General features: G+C 44.3%; 1 protein-coding gene and 1 long non-coding RNA gene across 4 annotated transcripts in view, besides 1 other annotated feature; both read right to left on the bottom strand.

Annotated features, from left to right (window-relative positions):
• The window catches only part of ARHGAP19-SLIT1 (ARHGAP19-SLIT1 readthrough (NMD candidate)), a 139632-nt gene that overhangs the window by 114064 nt on the left and 5478 nt on the right, over positions 1-20090 (bottom strand). The window lies entirely within an intron of this gene.
• ARHGAP19 (Rho GTPase activating protein 19) overlaps positions 1-20090 on the bottom strand; it is a 70459-nt gene that overhangs the window by 44927 nt on the left and 5442 nt on the right. The window contains exon 1 of one of the 3 annotated variants that reach the window (NM_001256423.2): positions 3501-3552. The exons of the other annotated variants lie outside the window; for them this stretch is intronic. Coding sequence (NP_001243352.1) covers positions 3501-3529 — 29 coding nt within the window. The 5' untranslated portion in view covers positions 3530-3552. Of the gene's footprint in view, positions 1-3500; positions 3553-20090 lie in introns of those variants that run through there. 3 annotated transcript variants of the gene reach the window in all.
• Positions 490-994: an enhancer, noted in NCBI's record as "NANOG-H3K27ac-H3K4me1 hESC enhancer chr10:99027352-99027856 (GRCh37/hg19 assembly coordinates)". NCBI's record gives its function as "activates a minimal SCP1, AML or CMV promoter by ChIP-STARR-seq in primed H9 embryonic stem cells {active_cell/tissue: H9 hESC(primed)}" and the evidence as "EXISTENCE:reporter gene assay evidence [ECO:0000049][PMID:30033119]".

Raw genomic sequence — 20090 nt, forward strand, 5'->3', positions numbered from 1 at the left:
AGCAAGTTAGTTACTTCCTAGGTACAATGTGGGTACAGGCATTGGGTAAATACACCCATTCCAAATGGGAGAAATTGGCCAAAACAAAGGGCTACAGACCCCATGCAAGTCTGAAATCCAACAAGGCAGTAATTAAATCTTACAGCTCTGAAATAATCTCCTTTGACTCCACGTCTCACATCCAGGTCACGATGATGCAAGAGGTGGGTTCTCATGGTCTTGGGCAGCTCTGTCCCTGTGGCTTTGCTGGGTACATCCCCATTCCTGGTTGCTTTCACAGGCTGGCATTGAGTGTTTGCAGCTTTTCCACTGCAGTGCAAGCTGTCAGTGGATCTACAGTTCTGGGATCTGGAAGATGGTGGCCCTCTTCTCACAATTCCACTAGGCAGTGCCCCAATGGGGACTCTGTATGGGGGCTCCCATCCCACATTTCCCTTCTTCTGAACTGCCCTAGCAGAGGTTCTCCATGAGAGCTCCAACCCTGCAGCACACCTCTGCCTTGAGGCATTTCCATACATCCTCTGAAATCTAGGCTGAGGTTCCCAAACCTCAATTCTTGACTTCTGTGCACCCGCAGGCCCAAAACCACATGTAAGCTGCCAAGGCATGGGGCTTGCACCCTGTGAAGCAATGGCCTGAGCTATACACTGTCCCCTTTTAGCCATAGCTGGGACCCAGGGCACCAAGTCCAGGGACTGCGCAAAGCAGCAAGGGACTGTGCAAAGCAGCAAGGCCCTGGGCCCAGCCCACAACATCATTTTTCCTTGTACGCCTCCAGGCCTGTGATGGGAGGTGCTGCTACAAAGGTCTCTGGCATGTCCTGGAGACATTTTCCCCATTGTCTTGGAAATTAGCATTTGGCTCCTCCTTATCTACGCAAATTTCTGCTGTCAGCTTGAATTTCTCTGCAGAAAATGAGTCTTTCTTTTCTACTGCATTGTCAGGCTGCAAATTTTTCAAACTTTTATGCTCTGCTTCCTCTTGAACACTTTGCCACTTAGAAATTTCTTCCACCTAAATCATCTCTCTCAAGTTCAAAGTTCCACAGATCTCTAGGGCAGGGGCAAAATGCCACCAGTCTCTTTGCATAGCAAGGGTGACCTTTATATAAGTTCCCAACAAGTTCCTCATCTCCATCTGAGACCACCTCAGTCTGGACTTCACTGTCCATATCACTATCAGCATTTTGGTCAAAGCTATTCAACAAGTCTCTAGGAAGTTCCAAACTTTCCCACGTTTCCCTGTCTTCTGAGTCCTCTAAACTGTTCCAACCTCTGCCTGTTACTCAGTTCAAAAGTCGCTTCCACATTTTCAGGTATCCTTACAGTAGTACCCAACTCTACTGGTACCAATTTACTGTATTAGTCTGTTCTCACGCTGTTAATAAAGACATACCAGAGACTCGGTAATTTACAAAGGAAAGAGAGGTTTAATGGACTCACAGTTCCACATGGCTAGGGAGGCCTCACAATCATGCTGGAAGGCGAAGGGGGAACAAAGGTATGTCTTACGTGGCAGCAGGCAAGAGAGCGTGTGTAGGGGAACTGCCCTTTATAAAAACATCAGCTCTTGTGAGACTTATTCACTGTCAAGAGAACAGCACAGGAAAAACCTGCCCCCATGATTCAATTACCTCCCACTGGGCTCCTCCCACAACCGTGGGGATTATGGGAGCTAGAATTCAAGACGAGATTTGTGTGGGGACATAGCCAAACCATATCAACCCCTTTTTACTTCTAATATGTTGTTATATTTAAGAACTGTATAATTGAAACTCTTAGAGCAGACACATAGTTTGTATCCATTAACAATAAATTCTAATGGCTTGTTCTAATCTTTATTACATAAGCAGTCATCTATTATATAACCAACAAATGGTCATAACACATAAGCTAGAAAGGACAAGTTATCATATCTCAGTCGGGCAGAATTGAAATTCACCTGACTCATACAAACATACCCACAGTAAAAGCAATCACAACTTAAAAGTGGTCCATTATACCCTAGGTACCAAAGCCCTGTTCCAGGAAAAATGATGGCACTTCTAAATATTAAATATAACTAATCTACAAAGGACATTGTCAATACTACATGGATAATTGTTAATAACAGTATAGTGAAAACAAGGCATGGGTAAACTTCAAAATTCGTCTCTATTTCCTTGAAAACTTATTACATGATTTAATCAATAGCCCACATCTTCAGCTGGTGGCTAGGAGATTCCTTCTTTTCTCTGAAATGACAATGTATTATCAGAAATACCATAAAAATTAAAAACTAGGAATGTATGTCCTCAAGCCAAAAAGTAACTAAAAAAACTAGAATTTAAAATGCTTCTCTCTTCAACCTTTTTACACGCTAGGTTATTTTTCCTGTTCAAATGCCAATGATGATAAATAAAAGCCAATTAGAATTAGAAGCAACTTCATCTTAAATCATTGACAAGAGCCTCTTTTTTTAACATCAGCTTATTTCAGTCAAGAAGCACGGGTCAATATAAGACTATTGTTTATAATCACTGCCAATGAGAAATTACTACCCTATCAGGAGGGCCAGAAAAATCATAAAATGCGTAGCACCAAAAAGAGTCTTATAATTTATTGAGTCTAAACTAATCATTTTCTGGAATTCACATCCCTTTTAATTCTCAATAACTGATTCAGATCAAATTAGCATTAACATAAAAATGTGTATTAATAGGAACCATTATATTCCTGAAACAGAAACACATACATACCTAAAACTTACACTTTTATTAATATCCAGAGCAAAACTCAGGATTCTAACACTTTCAACACAGTTGACCCTTCCAGCACTAAACTGGATCAAATACTGTACATAAGTGAGAAAGAAACTAGAAGCAACATGTATCGTTTTTCAATAGAATCCTTCCTACTTGGACATCATCCCCAAAACTACTCCCTCCTAAACAGCACAAACAGGTAGAAGAATAAACAGGTTCAAGACTGCTCCTACTACTTATAAGGAATACAAGAAAAAAAAAGATACCTTGGATCTCCTAACACATAAGTAACATGTAAACAATCTCAGTTTCTTTTCCCCTCTGTTTTTTCTCCCCTTTCTTCCCATGTTCATTCTTTCTTGTTATGTCACACTTTAATTTCCTTAAGCTAGTTCTTTTCTTTTCCCCTACTTTTCTTTTCTCACTTTTTCTGTGTGGACCACCTGGTAAAACAATATCTAAGAGATGGAAATAGTTAAAAGAGAAATCAAATGGAAGATGAAAGATGGAAAAGAGTTACAGCGGGTTATTTTTCTTAAAGTTATTCCCATATCACAAAGCCCACTAATCCCTTTCCAAAGAATACACAACACCACAATATAAAGCTAAAAATATCAAGAAACATATTTAAGAACTTAAGAAATGTATAGGACTAAAGAAAAAACTACTATATTTAAGCAAAAACAACTTTCTACTCTACAATATTGTAAAACAAACGAAATATACTAAAGTTCAAGAAAATAAATACATTTCTTACATAAGTGCTGAAAGTTTCTGATGAGGCATTGGTAAATCGAAGAGACAGGAAGAAAGCTTTCCCCTTGTTTGTTGTGACAAAGAAACTCTCCTTTCCCTGCCCCAGCACAGCCTACGCAAATTCCAGACATGTTAGAGGATACAAGGGCACATTATGGGGCCTGAAAGGCAGTACTTAGGACTCTGAGCACTCATCTGCAAGAAGGAAAATAGAGATAAAAAACTAGACCAGTTAATTAACTGTATTTGCCAATGCATAGATGAAGCTCAAAAGCAGACTCCCATCACCACTTAAGCTATGCTAGATGAAACAGTTACAAATGTAAAAGCATATAACAGGTAGTTTTACAATATGGGGGAGGGGTGATCCCTACCTCACATCACAGACAAAAAATAAATTCCAAACAAAGTAAAGATCTAAATATGAAAAGCCAAATTTAAAAACATTAAAAAACAATATAGAATAAATTAATGCAACAGAGAAAGAGTTTCTTAAACAAGACATAAAAAGCACAATCTCCAAAGAATCATAAATTTAACTACATTAAATTTTTCTGTATAACAAATGACATTACATACTAAATGTCTTAAAAATGAAGTCACAATGCCTCTAAAGAGAAATGGATAAAAGGGGAAGAAGAGTGGGAGAGAAAGTTTTCACTGTATGCTCTTTTGTATTTTCTGGATTTTATATTCATTTGAACGTACTATCCATTCATAATAAATAAATAAATAAATAGATAAATAAATCTAAAACTTTAAAAGTAATAATAAAATACAAGACAAGCCACAGACTGAAAAAAACATGTTTGCTATGCATATAACCAAGGATCAGTATTCAGAATTTACCAGTAAGCCAAAAAATTAATAAGGAAAAGACACTTGACTCAATAGAAAATTAGTCAAATGACATGATCAGTAACGCAGAGGAGGGGACCTAATGACTAATAAACATAAAAAGAATCTCAACTTTACAAGTTATCAGAATAAAGCAAATTTAAAAATAGTATCTTTCCCTACTCATCACTTAGCAAAATCAAATTCAGGTGGTATATTTTTATTCTCAGTTTGCTATGTTATTTATTTATTTATTTTAGACAGAGTCTCACTCTTGTCACCCAGGCTGCAGTGTAGTGGCACAATCTTGGCTCACTGCAGCCTCTGCCTTCCAGAGGAGATATATATATTTATTTATATATTTACTTATTTAAAATTGTGTATTGGTGTTTAATTTTATCAAATACTTATCAAAAATTTTTTGTGCCTCTATTGATGATCATATAATTTTTCTCCTTTATGGTAAATAATACAGATTTTCTATTGTTAAACCAACCTTGCATTTCTCAAATAACTCAACTTTGTTATGATGTATTATCATTTTTACATGTTGCTGAATTTGGTTTGCTAATAGTCTAGATTTCCCATTCATTCATAAGTGAGATTGGTCTTAAATTTTCCTTGTAATGTCTTCATTAGGTTTTATATCAAGGTTGTTCTAGCCTTATACACTTAGGTGGGAAATATGTCTTTTTTTTTTTTTTTTTTTTTTCAGACAGAGTCTCACTCTGTCACCCGAACTGGAGTGCAGTGGCACGATCTCAGCTAACTGCAACTTCCACCTCCCAGGTTCAAGCAATTCTCCTGCCTCAGCCTCCTGAGTAGCTGGGACTAGGCACACGCCACCCCACCCATCTAATTTTTTTGTATTTTAGTAGAGATGGGATTTCATCGTGTTGCCCAGGCTGGTCTCGAACTCCTGAGCTCAGGCAATCTGCCCGCCTTGGTATCCCACAAGCATGAGCCACCACGCGTGGCCAATATGTCTTATTTTTCTATTTTCTGAAAAAATTTATGTGAGATTAGTGTTATTTCTTCTGTAAATATGTGACAGAATTGGCAGATGAAGCCATCTGAACCTAGAATTTTCTTTGTGAAAAAGTTTTTCATTACACATTCCACTTATTTTGTGTTATGGGACTACTCACATTTTCCTTTACTTCTTGTGTTAATTTTGTTAAGTTGTAGATTTCAAGGAATTTGTCTATTTCACATAAACCTTCAAACTTTATTGGTATAAATTTGTATATAATATCCTCTTATCTTTTTTAATGTCTCTACGTTCCATAGTAATGTCCTCCTCTTTGTTCCTGATATTGGTAATTTTTTTTCAATGTAATTAGCTTTGTCAAGGTTCCAACTTCTAGCTTTGTTGAACCTCTCTATTGATTATGTTTGTTGTTTTTTTTTTTTTTTTGAGATGGAGTCTCGCTCTGTCGCCCAGGCTGGAGTGCAGTGGGACGATCTCGGCTGACTGCAAGCTCTGCCTCCTGGGTTCACGCCATTCTCCTGCCTCAGCCTCCCGAGTAGCTGGGACTACAGGTGCCCGCCACCACGCCTGGCTAATTTTTTGTATTTTTAGTGGAGACGGGGTTTCACCGTGTTAGCCAGGATGGTCTCGATCTCCTGACCTTGTGATCCGCCCGCCTCGGCCTCCCAAAGTGCTGGGATTACAGGCGTGAGCCACAGCGCCCAGCCTGTTTGTTGTTTATTTCATTAGTTTCTTTTTTTTTCTCTTTGAGATGAAGTCTTGCTCTGTTTTCCAGGCCGGAGTGCAATGGCACAGTCTTGGCTCACTGCAACCTCCACCTCCCAGATTCAAGCAATTCTCGTGCCTCAGCCTCCCCAGTAGCTGGAATTACAGGCACACACCACCACACCCAGCTAATTTTTGTATTTTTAGTAAAGGCAGGGTTTCATCATGTTAGCCAGGCTGGTCTCGAACTCCTGACCTCAGGTGATCCACCCACCTCAGCCTCCCAAAATGCTGGAATTATAGGCATGAGCCACCACGCCCAGCCTATTTCATTAATTTCTGCTCTCTTTTTTTTTTTTTTTTTTTTTTGAGACAGAGACTCTCTCTGTCGCCCAGGCTGGAGTACAGTGGCACTATCCTGGCTCACTGTAACTTCTGCCTCCTTGGTTCAAGCGATTCTCATGCCTCAGACTCCTGAGTAGTTGGGATTACAGGTGAGTGCCATTGTGCCCAGCTAATTTTTGTATTTTTAGTAGAGACAGGGTTTCACCATGTTGAGCAGGTTGGTCTCGAACTCCTGGGCTCAAGCAATCCACCCACCTTGGCCTCTCAAAGTGCTGGGATTACAGGCATGAGCCACCACACCCGACCCACAACATTATTTTCTAAACAGCCAAAACTGAAAAAGCAAAATGTCCAGCAGAATTTTAATTTAATGGCTTTATTTGTAATGGAATATTACACAGTAATGAAAATGGACAGACTCTAGCTATATGTACAATCACAGCTAAATCTCACAAATGAAAAGCAAAAGAAGCCACACATACACACACACACACACAAACACACACACACACAGACAACTACATACTATATGATGACATTTATATCAAATTTTAAAAATAAACGAAACTAGTATTTAGAGATACTTGCTTAAATGGTAAACTGTAAAGAGAAGCAGAAATGTATTTACCATAATATTCAGGATAATGGTTACCTTTTGTGGACAGTGATTAAGAGGCATGAAGGTATGAAAGAGTTCCTGAGGCCGGGCGCGGTGGCTCATGCCTATAATCCCAGCACTTTGGGAGGCCAAAGTGGGTGGATCACAAGGTCAGGAGTTCGAGACCAGCATGGCCAACATGGTGAAACCCCGTCTCTACTAAAAAATACAAAAATTAGCAGGGCATGGTGGCGGGCACCTGTAATCCCAGCTACGTGGGAGGCTGAGGCAGAAGAACTGCTTGAACCCGGGAGGTGAAGGTTGCAGTGAGCTGAGATTGCGCCACTGTACTCTAGCCTGGGCAACAGAGCAAGACTCCATCTTAAAAAAAAAAAAAGAGTTCCTGAAGTGCTAATACTGTTCTTGTGGATAAATCACTGAGCTATGCGAAAAGGGGAGCATTTGAAGCAAATATGGCAAAATGTTAAGATTTGCTAAAGCTGGGTAATGGGAAGAATACTGATTATATTATTTTATAAACTTGTATGTATAATTGACGTTTCATGACAAATTTTTTTTAAAGAAACCAAGTAGTTTTGGCTTAAATCTCACTTCAATTTGATATAAATATTATAGAAAATCAAAGTATATACTAAAGACTAATTTCCTCATCATAAAAGTTTTTACATAGATGGCCAGAACCAGGAAAATTAGTAGCTAGATATGTAGGCATACAGAAATAACAAGGGCTCTGGGCAACTATCCCAAAGAATGATAGAGGCAAGACCCCTCAAAAAAGAACAATTTCGGGGAGGTGGCCTGCAGGAGACAGAGGGATTGACAGGATGTTGTGTGTAGCAGCTTTCCTCTGGATACCAATGCTGAGGACACCACATCGGGGCTCTCCTGCCCACTGCTGTGGGTCGCCACCTCCAAGATAACCCCAATGCCAGTGACATCCTTCCCATCAGTCACCACTCCAGCACCAGAAACCTATGAAGGCTGCAACAGCTGTGTTTCCTGTTTTAAAGCACTGCCTTGGCCTCCCAAAGTGCCGAGATTGCAGCCTCTGCCCGGCCGCCACCCCGTCTGGGAAGTGAGGAGTGTCTCTGCCTGGCCGCCCATCGTCTGGGATGTGAGGAGCCCCTCTGCCTGGCTGCCCAGTCTGGAAAGTGAGGAGCGTCTCCGCCCGGCCGCCATCCCATCTAGGAAGTGAGGAGCACCTCTTCCCAGCCGCCATCACATCTAGGAAGTGAGGAGCGTCTCTGCCCGGCCGCCCATCGTCTGAGATGTGGGGAGCGCCTCTGCCCCGCCGCCCCATCTGGGATGTGAGGAGCGCCTCTGCCCGGCCGAGACCCCGTCTGGGAGGTGAGGAGCGTCTCTGCCCGGCCGCCCCGTCTGAGAAGTGAGGAGACCCTCTGCCTGGCAACCACCCCGTCTGAGAAGTGAGGAGCCCCTCCGCCCGGCAGCTGCCCCGTCTGAGAAGTGAGGAGCCTCTCCGCCCGGCAGCCACCCCATCTGGGAAGTGAGGAGCATCTCCGCCCAGCAGCCACCCCGTCCGGGAGGGAGGTGGGGGGGGGTCAGCCCCCCACCCGGCCAGCCGCCCCATCCGGGAGGGAGGTGGGGGGTCAGCCCCCCCGCCCGGCCAGCTGTGCCATCCGGGAGGGAGGTGGGGGGGTCAGCCCCCCGCCCGGCCAGCCGCCCCGTCCGGGAGGTGAGGGGCGCCTCTGCCCGGCCGCCCCTACTGGGAAGTGAGGAGCCCCTCAGCCCGGCCAGCCACCCCGTCCGGGAGGGAGATGGGGGGGTCAGCCCCCCCACCCGGCCAGCCGCCCCGTCCGGGAGGGAGGTGGGGGGGTCAGCCCCCCGCCTGGCCAGCCGCCCCGTCCGGGAGGGAGGTGGGGGGGTCAGCCCCCCGCCCGGCCAGCCGCCCCGTCCGGGAGGTGAGGGGCGCCTCTGCCCGGCCGCCCCTACTGGGAAGTGAGGAGCCCCTCAGCCCGGCCAGCCACCCCGTCCGGGAGGGAGATGGGGGGGTCAGCCCCCCCACCCGGCCAGCCGCCCCGTCCGGGAGGGAGGTGGGGGGGTCAGCCCCCCGCCTGGCCAGCCGCCCCGTCCGGGAGGGAGGTGGGGGGGTCAGCCCCCCGCCCGGCCAGCCGCCCCGTCCGGGAGGTGAGGGGCGCCTCTGCCCGGCCGCCCCTACTGGGAAGTGAGGAGCCCCTCTGCCCGGCCAGCCGCCCCGTCCGGGAGGGAGGTGGGGGGGTCAGCCCCCCGCCCGGCCAGCCGCCCTGTCCGGGAGGTGGGGGGGTCAGCCCTCCGCCCGGCCAGCCGCCCCGTCTGGGAGGTGAGGGGCGCCTCTGCCCGGCCGCCCCTACTGGGAAGTGAGGAGCCCCTCTGCCCGGCCAGCCGCCCCGTCCGGGAGGGAGGTGGGGGGGTCGGCCCCCCGCCCGACCAGCCGCCCCATCCGGGAGGGAGGTGGGGGGGTCAGCCCCCCGCCCGGCCAGCCGCCCTGTCCGGGAGGGAGGTGGGGGTGTCAGCCCCACGACCGGCCAGCCGCCTCGTCCGGGAGGGAGGTGGGGGCGTCAGCCCCCCGCCCGGCCAGCCACCCCGTCCGGGAGGGAGGTGGGGGGGGTCAGCCCCCCTGCCCGGCCAGTGGCCCCGTCCGGGAGGTGAGGGGCGCCTCTGCCCGGCCGCCCCTACTGGGAAGAGAGGAGCCCCTCTGCCCGGCCAGCCGCCCCGTCCGGGAGGGAGGTGGGGGGGGGTCAGCCCCCCTGCCCGGCCAGCCGCCCCGTCCGGGAGGTGAGGGGCGCCTCTGCCCGGCCGCCCCTACTGGGAAGTGAGGAGCCCCTCTGCCCGGCCAGCCGCCCCGTCCGGGAGGGAGGTGGGGGTGTCAGCCCCCCGCCCGGCCAGCCGCCCCGTCCAGGAGGGAGGTGGGGGGGGTCAGCCCCCCCCGCCCGGCCAGCCGCCCCGTCCGGGAGGTGAGGGGCGCCTCTGCCCAGCCACCACCCCGTCTGGGAGGTGTGCCCAACAGCTCATTGAGAACGGGCCAGGATGACAATGGCGGCCTTGTGGAATAGAAAGGCGGGAAAGGCGGGGAAAAGATTGAGAAATCGGATGGTTGCCGTGTCTGTGTAGAAAGAAGTAGACATGGGAGACTTTTCATTTTGTTCTGCACTAAGAAAAATTCCTCTGTCTTGGGATCCTGTTGATCTGTGACCTTACCCCCAACCCTGTGCTCTCTGAAACATGTGCTGTGTCCACTCAGGGTTAAATGGATTAAGGGCGGTGCAAGATGTGCTTTGTTAAACAGATGCTTGAAGGCAGCATGCTCGTTAAGAGTCATCACCAATCCCTAATCTCAAGTAATCAGGGACACAAACACTGCGGAAGGCCGCAGGGTCCTCTGCCTAGGAAAACCAGAGACCTTTGTTCACTTGTTTATCTGCTGACCTTCCCTCCACTATTGTCCCATGACCCTGCCAAATCCCCCTCTGTGAGAAACACCCAAGAATTATCAATAAAAAAATAAATTAAAAAAAATAAATAAATAAATAAAAAAAATAAAATAAAGCACTGTTAATAATAGCTGCTTTTGCATAGAATGTAAAGAAGATGAGAGCTACTGTTCACATAATTCAACAGTTATAGACTGTCGTGTGGTGAACAGGACAGACTTCTGTTCTGTGCCAACTGCCACTCTGTTGCCAATCAATTCCACAGTGACACATAGATCCAGTGTTTCACACTCAGTGAATCTGAGCAGATTTGCTGAGGCTTTGTATGTTGAGTTCACAATGACTTTTTATGGATTTTGTGGAAATCTTGGGAAACAGAGAAGCCTAAAGGAAATTATAATTCCCATTTTCCAGAGTTAAAACCACAAGTCTGCCTTTCTCTTCTACAACTTCCACCACAGTTACTACATCAGGTACAATAAATACCACTGTCCTTGTCTTTGGTGTACAGGCTATAATTTTCTTTCTTTATAAATTCTACACATCTAAGAAACAAACTTATACTCTGTAAGCAGACCCATTACACTGATAAGGACTGGAGATTCATTCACCTAACTCACTGAAACCAAAATACTATCTTTCAAGATGTCCCACATGGAAGACGCTATTCCAGGATCTTTCGATTTCCAAAAGATGCATATAAGCTATTTGAGAGCATCATCCCTGAAGGAAAAATCAGTTAAATCATTTTGTTCAACAGGAAAATTTTAAATATTCTGCACGAATCCTTGTGGCAGTCTTATTTTAAATGGTTGCTGCTTTGGGATTATGTTTCTTTTTTTCTTGACATGCCAAACGTAACTTTCTGTAAGTGACAGAAAATGCTGTCTTGTGCAGACAATGTCAGGACTCTTAGCAGTTTAAATTTAGTCACTTTAAAGCCTGAAAGCTGCATTATTTTCATCCTAACTCAAGATATAACTCAGTGAACAGAATTGAGAAGAGTGTGCCAAATGAGTATCAATCAGGTGGATTGTGGCCTATCATGTCAAAGTGGCATAAATTTATCAATCTAGTAATACTAAAAAAATAATAATTTGTATAACCTACTCACAGTATACAATTACCACTTTTACCACTAGATGGAACCCTACATGTAAGGTGATATGCTCAGTGAAAGGACTGGAAACAATCCACAGCTGAAAAATCAATTACAGAAAAATGAAATGCAAGTGCTTCTGAGGCATGTTGAAGCCATGAATCTGCAAAATTCAAGGCAGTTAAAAAAAAAAAAAACTGCATCCTGCAGATGTATCTTTTGGCTGACTATACCAAAACTGCATACCCACAAAACTAAATGTTTCCTCCCTGGTGAATTGCCTAACTTGATTTGTTTTCCAAGAACCACAACCTTGGCAAGATTTATCAAAATATGAGCTATATTTAAAGTTGTCTAAATCTGATTTACCACCCTGAGAGAAGAATGCCCTCTCTCTTACTGCTTTTTCAACTCTAAAAGGCTCTGAAACACAGCTTTAAATGTGTCACTTTGTTGGAAAGCTGTTAGATAAGAAATACAACTATCAAAGAAAAGACTGTATTCTTCCCTCTTTCTATGTATCAAATTTAAGCCAGTATCATGAAAGCTGTACATAAAAAGAGAAGAGAAAACTAAACAGGCCCTACATGTCCAAGCTGGTGGTGCTTTTTAATACCAGAGACAGTTCAACATTAATAAGTCGTACCACAATTCAGGGAACGATATCCAATTTCTTAGATAAAATTTTTGAAATATTTATACCCTAAGGTCTGCCCTTAGGAGTAGCTGTGCAATGTTTTATAGTATGGACTACAAAATTATCTCTAAGTTAGACTCCAAAAGTCTGCAAATATATTTAGCCCCTATATTTGATCTCAACCTGAACAAATTTCTTTCTTGCTTGCTTTTGTGTGTGTGTGTGTGCGTTTTGTTTGTTTGTTTGAGGCTGGGTCTTCCCTTGTTGCCCAGGCTAGAGTGCAATGGCGCAATCATGACTCACTGTAGCCTCAACTGCCTGAGCTCAAACAATTCCCCCACCTCGTCCTCCCAAGTAGCTGGGACCATAGACATGCACAGCCACACCTGGCTAATTTTTTTTTATTATTTGTAGACACAAGTCTTTCTACGTTGCCCAGGTCTCAAATTCCTGGGCCCAAGTGATCCTCGCACCTCGGCCTCCCAAAGTGCTGGGATCACAGGCATAAGCCACCACGCCCAGCCCAAATTTCAAACTAATAATACAACTTAACCAAAATTAAACTGGCAAACTATTCTGAGATGAAAAAACTCTTGATTGCCTACCTTCTTAACCTAAACATTTTTGGAATCCTAATCTAAGATTCTGCCCTATGGAATGACAATGTAATATTCTCAGTCAAGAATGATGAGTATAAATAATGCCAATTTACTCACTCATTTATTTGCTTGGTAATTTTTATCTTTCTGGGTGTCATATGAATAAGCATTAATTATGCTGCTGACACCTTCCTTAATTTTTCTCCCTCATGCTAGTGTACAATGGGAAGAAAGTTATTTGTATTAAGAAAGTAACATCAGGCTGGGTGCAGTGGTTCACATCTGTAATCCCAGCACTTTAGGAGGCCGAGGTGGACAGATCATTTGAGGTCAGGAGTTCAAGACCACCCTAGCCAACATAGTGAAACCCCATCTCTACTAAAAATACAAAAGAATTAGCTGGGTGTGGTGGTGCACACCTGTAATCCCAGCTACAAGGGAGGCTGAGGAAGGAGAATCACTTGAACCCGGGAGGCAGAGGTTGCAGTGAGCCGAGATCACACCACTGCACTCCAGCCAAGGTGACAGACCAAGACTCCATCTCAAAAATAATAATAATAATTAAAAGAAAAAAAAGGTAACATCAAAATTCCCTATTAACTTGGAAAAAGTTCTATAGGATGCTTCACTGATAATACAGTCTCTTTCTTACCATTTATCTAAAAAATATTTGCTCCTCAAAAAATCAGAGTCAATGCTTCATGAGTCTCTCTTTTCCTATTTTTTTTTTTTCCCCTAAGACAGGGTCTCACTCTGTTGACCAGGCTGTAATGCAGTGTGCAATCATAGTTCACTTCAGCCTTCAACACCTGGGCTCAAGGGATCCTCCCATACTCCCACATCAACCTCCCAAAGTGCTAAGACTAAAGGTGTGTGCCACCACACCTGGCTAATTTTTTAATACAGCCCAGGGTCTCACTATGTTGACCACACTAGTCTCAAACTCCTGGCCTCAAGCGATCCTCCCAGCTCAGCCTCCCCAAGTGCTGGCATTAGGCATGAGCCACTGCACCCAGCCTCCTACAGACTTTTAAGTGCCATGAGTCTCAGGCAATTAAAACTAGAAGTACTTCTACGTATGATCTGATTAGGTCCTAAAAGACTACTTCTATATTCATTTGTTCCAAAGTTCAGAGTGACACATACTATCCAAGAGACAGCTAATGGTTTTTGTTCTGGCACATGACTTGTTCATATCTACACAAGTTCACAAATTGAAAATTCTTAAGAGTTTCTGGCCAGGCACAGCGGCTCATGTCTATAATTCCAACACCTTGTGAGGACAAGGTGGCAGGATCACTTGAGCCTAGGAGTTCAAGACCAGTATAAGCAACCTGACAAGACTCTGTCACTACAAAAAAAAAAAAAAAAAAAAATTGTTTTTAAATTAGCCAGGCATGGTTGCTTGAGTCTACGGTCCCAACTACTCAGGAGGCTGAGGTAGGAGGATCACCTAAGCCCAGGAGGTCAAGGCTGCAGTGAGGTGTGTTCTTGCCCCTGCACGCCAGCCTGAGTCATAACAGAGTGAGACCCTGTTTCAAAAAAGAAAAGAGTTTCTATACTTGTAGTCAGCCAGAAATATTCAATATTTCACAAATTTAACTATAAATCTTTTCATCAACCAACATAAGAAGGTGAATTGCTTTTCTGAGACATATGGTACCCAAACAAGAAATCGATCACTTGTGTGTCATTTAAAATCAATCCAATCATGATCTACTAATTGCTTTGTAACTTTACGGTATTGTAAGGTATAGGGGACAAAAACTAAGGTAAGTCTCTGGCCTCCAGGAACTGAAAATTCACTAAGTGCTACGCGATTTCAAATAGTAGCTAAAGACCACAACGCAAAAGATGATACAAGATCATTAATAGCCAAATGCATGATACAGACAATAAAGGCTCTAAGAATTCAGGAGAGAATCTTTTACCCATATACAAGAGATTTGAGCTAGATCTTAAAGACGTGTAGGAGTTAGACAGTGGGAGAAAAAAAGAGCTAATACTTAAGGTGCTTTTTGGTTTCTCAGGGTTTTTTTAAGAAACATAAAATGTTTTCGCCACACATTAGTGGCCAGCCCTTTTCAAAACATAAATTTAAAGAGAGGTACACAGGGGAGTTACAGAGATAGCACAGTGGACATCTGCTGCTTTTGAATTCCCAATACGTATTTTCCCCTTCCTCTGGTAACAGCACCCCCATTTTCCTTTAAGCAATAAACCTCTCCCCATCTTTCGAATCTATGTGACCTGGTGGGCACTGCCTGTGAGCATGTCATCCAAGCTTAACCAACTGAAACATTCTATTCCCTTCATGAATCCAAGCAAAGGCCCACAAGTCAAACCAGGACAAAAAGTCTCAACTCCAAGACTCTTGTGAATCCTAAAATTGCTAAGCTGGTGGGATGTAAGACTGACACCGTTGGTGGCCTATTACTGCCACTTTTTATACAGAATCTGCCTTCTTAGGAAGCAAATACAGAGGAAACCAGATCTAAGACAGTAAAGAGGTAGATATCTAACAACACTGAGATTTGAGATTTTCCATACAGATTAAACCATACTTGATTTATCCCCTGGACTTTTCAGTTTCTTGAGCCAATTAATAGAGTCTCTTTTTGCTTAAGCTAGTTTTAGTTTCTATCACATATAACTGAAGAATCCTAACAAATATGAATGTGTAAGTCTGTTTGTCCCAGTATGAATCTGAGCCCTCCCTTCTGTATCTTCCCCTTCAGAGCAATGGCTGCCAATCAGTCAGCCATGGCCATGCCATCTCCAGCAAGGTCTGGAACTCTGCCCTAGGGACCCTCTTCCTTGTACATTCTAACTCAGCTGATTCCTGTATCTATTTCTATATTTCTTAGAGATCTCTTTACTTCTTACTAGCCAATTCCTTGTTACTCGAATCCCCAGTTATAGTTTATAACCTATTAAATGTTCTCTGTTTAAAGTACTATGTAGTTTCTTTTTTCTTTTTTTTTTTTTTTTTTTTGAGACAGAGTCTCACTCTGGTCGCCCAGGCTGGAGTGCAGTGGTGCGATCTCGGCTTACTGCAACCTCCACCTCCCAGGTTCAAGCGATTCTCCTGCCCCAGCCTCCCAAGTAGCTGGGATTACAGGCGTCTGCCACCACGCCTGGCTAATTTTTGTATTTTTAGTAGAGACGGGGTTTCACCATATTGGCCAGGCTGGTCTTGAACTCCTGACCTCAGGCAATCCACCCACCTCAGCCTCCCAAAGTGCTGGGATTACAGGCGTGAGCCACCCGCCCGGCTGTTACTATGTAGTTTCTATGGCCTAGCTGAATTTAGTTTATATCGGGTAACAGTAGCAAAACATCAGCACAAAATAAATAGGCTCCAGCATCTGTAGAAACAACCCACCCTAAAAGATGGTTAGTAAAAGTGTAGGTGAGAGTGTTCACTGAAGGTGACCAGAGGGCATCTTCAGGAGGCTGAGGTGGGTGGATCATGAGGTCAAGAGTTCGAGACCAACCTGGCCAACATGGTGATACCCCGTCTCTACTAAAAATACAAAAATTAGCCAGCATGGTGGCGCATGCCTGTAGTCCCAGCTACTCGGGAGGCCGAGGCAGGAGAACTGCTTGAACCCAGGAGACGGAGGCTGCAGCAAGCTGAGATCATGCCACTGCACTCCGGCCTGGGCAACAGAGTGAGACTCTGTCTCAAAAAAAAAAAAAATTGTATTTCAATCACTCTTTTGCTATACTGTTTCCAACCAGAAATGATGCACTTATTGGGAGGAAACTGGGAAACCAAGATAGAAATCAGATCTTGGATGGGTCATATTTTAGATAAGAGGCATTACAGTTTAAGACTCAGAAGGAACCAGACATGGTGGCTCACACCTGTAATCCCAGCACTTTGGGTTGCCAAGGTGGGAGGAGTACATGAGCCCAAGAGTTTGAGACCGCCTAGACAACATAGTGAAACTTCATCTCTATTAAAAAAAAAAAAAAAAAAACTGTCTCAATATTAATAATGGTTGTATCTATCTGGTAAATTGGAGTGGCTAGTTTACCATTTTTCTACATATTTTTCTTTCCTTTTTTTTTCTTTTTTTTAGAGACAGGGTCTCACTCTGGCACCCAGGCTGGAGCACAGTGGTGTCATCATAGCTCACTGCAGCCTTAAGCTCCTAGGTTCAAGCAATCTTCCCACCTCATCCTCCCCAGTAGCTGGGACTACAGGTGCACACCACCACACCTAGCTTTTTTCTCTTATTTTTATTTGTATTTTTTGCTTTTTGTTTTTGAGACATTGTCTCACTCTGTTGCCCAAGCTGGAGTACAGTGGTGCAATCTTGGCTCACTGCAACTTCTGCCTCCCAGGTTCAAGCGATTCTCTTGCCTCAGCCTCTTAAGTAGCTGGGATTACAGATGTGCGACACCATGCCCAGCTAATTTTTGTCTTTTTAGTAGAGACAGGGTTTCACCATGTTGGCCAGGCTGGTCTCGAACTACTGACCTCAAGTGTTCTGCCCACCTTGGCCTCCCAAAGTGCTGGGATTATAGGCGTGAGACACTCAGACCAGCCCCCATTTTTTTCTACATATTTTTCTAGCCTTCTGTAGTAAATATTATATAAGTTTATTTCATAGTGGGGAAGAGGGGAAAAAAGTATATACTGGGGGTTTTTTGAGGCAAGGTCTTGTTCTATTGCCCATGCTAGAATGGTGGCATACTCACGGTTCAGTGCATCCTTGACCTCCCAGGCTCAAGCAATCCTCCTGCCTCGGCCTTCCTAGCAGCTGAGACCAGAGGCATGTGCCACCACGCCTGGCTAACTATTTTTATTTTTAGTAGAGACAATGTCTTGCTAGGTTGCCCAGGCTGGTCTCAAACTCCTGGGCTCAAGTGATCCTACCACCTCAGCCTCCCAAAGTGGTAGGATTACAGATGAGAGCCACCACTTTTAGCCAAACTATATACTCTTAACAAAAAAGAAAGAAAGAAAAAAAAGCATATACTTTTTTTTTTTTTTTTTTTTTCCTGTGAGACTGAGTCTCGCTGTGTCGCCCAGGCTGGAGTGCAATGGTGTGATCTTAGCTCACCACAACCTCCGCCTCCCAGGTTCAAGCGATTCTCCTACCTCAGCCTCCCAAGTAGCTGCGATTACAGGTGCATGCCACTGCACCCAGCTAATTTTTTGTATTTTTAGTAGAGACGGGGTTTCACCATGCTGGCCAGGCTGGTCTTAAACTCCTGACCTCAGGTGATCCGCCCGCCTCCGCCTCCCAAAGTGCTGGGATTACAGGCATGAGACACTGTGCAAGGCCGAAAGTATATACTCTTAAAGCTTCAATGGATTTGTAGGTTGTAGATGTTCCATATAAAAAATGGCTGGACACAGAACAATGCGAATGTAGTTAACATTAATTAACTACACACTTAATAGGTAAGATGATAAACTGTTATGTTTTTTAATACAATTTTTTAAAACAAATTTATTTTTATTTATTTTTTTTAACAACAGGGTCTCAGTCACCCAGGCCAGAGTGTAGTGGCGGCATTCTAGCTTATTGCAGCCTCAAACTCTTGAGCTCAAGTGATCCTCCTGCTTCAGCCTCCCAAGTAGCTGGGACTGCGGGTATGTGCCACCATACCTAGATAATTTTCTCTTTTTTTTTTTGCTTTTTTTTTTTTTTTTTTGAGACAGAGTCTCTCCCTCTGTTGCCCAGGCTGGAGTATAGTGGCACAATCTCGGCTCACTGCAACCTCCAGCTCCCAGGTTCAAGCAATTATCCTGCCTCAGCCTCCCTAGTAGCTGGGATTATAGGCAACCGCCACACACCCAGCTAATTTTATATTTTTAGTAGAGACAGGGTTTCACCATGTTGGCCAGGCTAGTCTCGAACTCCTGACCTCAAGTGATCTGCCCGCCTCGGCCTCCCAAAGTGCTGCGATTACAGGCGTGAGCCACCATGCTTGGCCTAAGCCAAATGTAATGTTTACAGCAAAAAGTTTACAGATTTCCTATATCACTCTTTATAACACTACCGACCCAATTGTTCTGACCAAAGTAAACTTGTGCAACAATATCTGCTTTGCTTTATGCTGTGGTTTCATGCCACTTACCAGTTTATGCAGATTAATTTTAAAATTCTGTTTTCTTCCTTCCCCTCCTTCCAAGACAGGCCTTATTTACAAATATGATCAAACTCTCTAAACCTGATCATTGATAAAATGTAAAATAAAACCAGATTCAAGAAAATCCCCTGAAGAAATCTACTCCTCATTACCCTTCAGATAGAATTTAACAGCACAAATACAAAACTAGATTCAGGTTTTCTCACTTAACTGTGCATGTAAGAACAGACAAGTCTTCCTGGGATCAATAAAGGTTTAAACCTTTTAAACCATTTTTCTCGAAGGAACACATTACTGTCTTATTACAGAAAAAGCAATTTAACCAAAAGGCTCAGGCCAGGCACGGTGGCTCACACCTGTAATCCCAACACTTTGGGAGGCCAAGGTGGGTGGATCACCTGAGGTCAGGGGTTTAAGACCAGCCTGGCCAACATGATGAAACCCCATCTCTACTAAAAATACAAAAATTAGCTGGACGTGGTGGCACATGGCTGTAGTCCCAGCTACTGAGGAGGCTAAGGCAGGAGAATTGTTTAAACCCAGAAGGCGGAGGTTGCAGTGAGGCACGATTGCGCCACTGCACTCCAGCCTGTGCCACAGAGCGAGACTCCGTGTCAAAAAACCAAGGCTCAGAAGTCATGTTTACTAACCAATATTCCATACCTAAGGTATATGTAAATTAACAAGACATAGAACCCTTTCCACATCTTCAGACACCTCCCCTGTCCTCCAGAAACATTTCCAGGCATTCTACTGTCTGTTCCTAAGCTGGCTCTTCATGTAATAATAGTTAGCACTTTCTTTTTAAGTCTCTTTTTAATTAAAAAATACTAAGCTGTGCGTATTTCCCTACTGCCAATTATGAGGAGAAGTAGCTTTATTTCATTTCCTGCTTTCGCCTTTTCTCTTTGACCCTTAAAGGTCTGTATTATGTTTATACTATTATTGATAAAGTGGATAGTTTTTTTTGTTTTTGTTGTTGTTGTTGTTTGTACAGGGTCTCACTCTATCACCCAGGCTAGAGTGCAATGGCAGGATGATGGCTGTTTGCAGCCTCCACCTCCCGAGCTCAAGTGATCCTCCCACCTTAGCCTCCCAAGTAGCTGGGACCACAGGCGTGCATCACCACACCTGGCTATGTGTTTTTATTTTTTTTATAGGATCTCCCTATATTGCCCAGGCTAGTCTCAAACTCCTGGCCTCAGGTGATCTTCCTGTCT

Source organism: Homo sapiens, chromosome 10, assembly GCF_000001405.40.
Source record: "Homo sapiens chromosome 10, GRCh38.p14 Primary Assembly".
Lineage (NCBI taxonomy): Eukaryota > Metazoa > Chordata > Mammalia > Primates > Hominidae > Homo > Homo sapiens.